This window comes from Homo sapiens, chromosome 16 (assembly GCF_000001405.40).
Source record: "Homo sapiens chromosome 16, GRCh38.p14 Primary Assembly".
NCBI lineage: Eukaryota > Metazoa > Chordata > Mammalia > Primates > Hominidae > Homo > Homo sapiens.
In genome coordinates this window covers 18,206,370-18,208,970 of record NC_000016.10, presented here as the reverse complement: position 1 = coordinate 18,208,970, position 2,601 = coordinate 18,206,370, and positions in this window count along the sequence as shown.

Genomic DNA, 2,601 nt, shown 5'->3' with positions numbered 1-2,601 from the left:
GCATTCAGAAATGGGGTCTATTTCCCTTTTCCTGAGCCTGGGCTGGCCTGTGACTGCTTTGACGAATAGATTGCCATAGAAGTGACACCATGATGGTTCTGGTCCTGGCATTTAAGGGATCATGCAGTTTCCACCTTACACCTCTTGGAACTCTTGGTTTTAAACCCCTGATCCACTGTGTAAGAAATCTGAGGGCTTTTGCTGGAGGGAAACCTGGAGAGACTCTGAGATGACATGGAAAGGGAGAGAAGTTGCTCTGAGCCCAGCTTCCATCCTGTCCCACTGATATGGTTTGGCTGTGTCCCCATCCAAATCTCATCTTGAATTCTCACATGTTGTGAGAGGGACCTGGTGGGAGGTAATTGAATCATGGGGGTGGGTCTTTCTCATGCTATTCTCATGATAGTAAGTCTCATGAGATCTGATGGTTTTATAACAGGGAGTTTCCCTGCACAAGCTCTCTTTTTGCCCGCTGCCATCCATGTAAGACGTGACTTGCTCCTCCTTGCCTTCCACCATGATTGCGAGGCTCCCCAGCCATGTGGAACTCTGAGTCCATTAAACCTCTTTCCTGTAAAAATGACCCAGTCTCAGGTATGTCTTTGTTAAGAGCATGAAAATGGACTAATACACCCACCAAGGTGCCTGGCACATCACTAAAACTGCACTAGACCCTTCAGAGCAGCCCCGAAGCCCTCTGAATACTACTGAGTGACCTCAGATGATACTGTGTGAGCAGAAGAACTGCCCAGCTGGGTCCTGCTTAAATTCCTGACCCTCAAAATCATGATCTATAATAAAAACAGTTGTGGCTTTAAGCCATAATGTTTGGGGATTAACTTGAATGGCATCCTTCAGGAGATACCCCATGTGTCATAGGTTTTGGGGATGGAGGTTATCTTAGCCTACCAACAGTGCCTGATACAAATATGCAAATGTTTCATTGGGTCACGCAATCTCAAGAAAGCAGGGATAAGGGAAAGAGAGAAAGAGGAAGAGCAAAACCAAAGAAGTGTATATTGCCTAGTGGAGTTGCAGTTTCCCAGAAACACAAGCATGGGATAACTCTGGAGTCAGTCATCTGCCAGCTCCTGCTGTTTCCTGTCTCTTATTGGTCAAAGCTTGCTCCACTCTGCACTTCTGAGTAATGGCCCTCAGCCCCTCCTAGCAGCTTCTGGGGGATCCAGGACCTCTGGGAGCTGATAGGTGTGATAGAGGCCAGCCCTTAACCCCACCCAGGGTAGGCTGAGTCACTTTTATTTTATTGTAAAATTGATATTTATTTACTTATTATTTTAAGGTAATTTTTTTTGAGACAGGATCTTGCTCTGTTGCCCAGGCTGGAGTACAGTGGCACAGTCATAGCTCACTGCAACCTCAAACTACTGGGCTCATGTGATCCTCCTGCCTCAGCCTCCTGAGTAGCTGGGACTACAGGTATGCACCACCATGCATGGCTAGTTTTTAAAAAGTTTTTTTGGAGGGATGGGGTTTTGCTTTGTTTCCCAGGCTAGTCTCAAACTCTTGACCTCAAGAGATCCTCCTGCTTCAGCCTCTCAAATTGCTGAGATTACAGGCATGAGCCACTATGCCTGGCCTCTATTATTATTATTTTGAGACAGAGTCTCACTCTGTTGCCCAGGCTGGAGTACATCGGTGCAGTCTTGGCTCACTGCAACCTCTGCCTCCTGGGTTCAAACAATTCTTGTGCCTCAGCCTCCGAGTAGCTGGGACTACAGGTGTGTGCCATCATGACTGGCTAATTTTTGTGTTTTTAGTAGAGATGGGGTTTCGCCATGTTGGCCAGGTTGGTCTTGAACTCCTGACCTCAAGTATCCACCTGCCTCGGCCTCCCGAAGTGCTAGGATAACAGGTGTCGGTCACAGCTCCTGGCCACTGGCTTCTATTTTTTTATTTTTTGAGACGGAGTCTAGCTCTTGTTGCCCAGGCTGGGGTTCAGTGGCGCGATCTCGGCTCACTGCAACCTCTCAAGTTCAAGAGATTCTCCAGCCTCAGCCTCCCGAGTAGCTGGGATTACAGGCACGTGTCGCCATGCCCAGCTAATTTTTGTATTTTCAGTAGAGACAGGTTTCACCATGTTGGCAGGATGGTCTCGATCTCCTGACCTCATGATCCACCCACCTTGGCCTCCTAAAGTGCTGGGATTACAGGCGTGGGCCACGGCACCTGGCCCAGCCTCTATTTTTAAAGTAACTTTTATGGGATGTCAGACATTGTAAATTTTACCTTGGTGGGTGCTGGATGTTTTTGTGCCTGGCACAGTCCTAGGTGCTGAGGACCTAGCATTGAACAAAAACAAAGATCCCTGCTCTTGCTGAACTTCCATGCTACTGTGGGGAGACAATCAGTGAACAACAAGCATAATTTAGGTTTGCTCTTATTATACTGTTGCACACGTACCTTTTGTATATGTACTCTTAAACGGCCATTGTTTTTAGTGATTTGATTGAACAGATATATTTGATTGAACAGATATATCCTTGCTGAATGAGCCATTTCTTTATTGATGGGTAATTATATTACTTTCTCTAATAAGAGTCATCAGAAGCTTAGAGGCTTAAGAATCTAAGCTCAACAAAC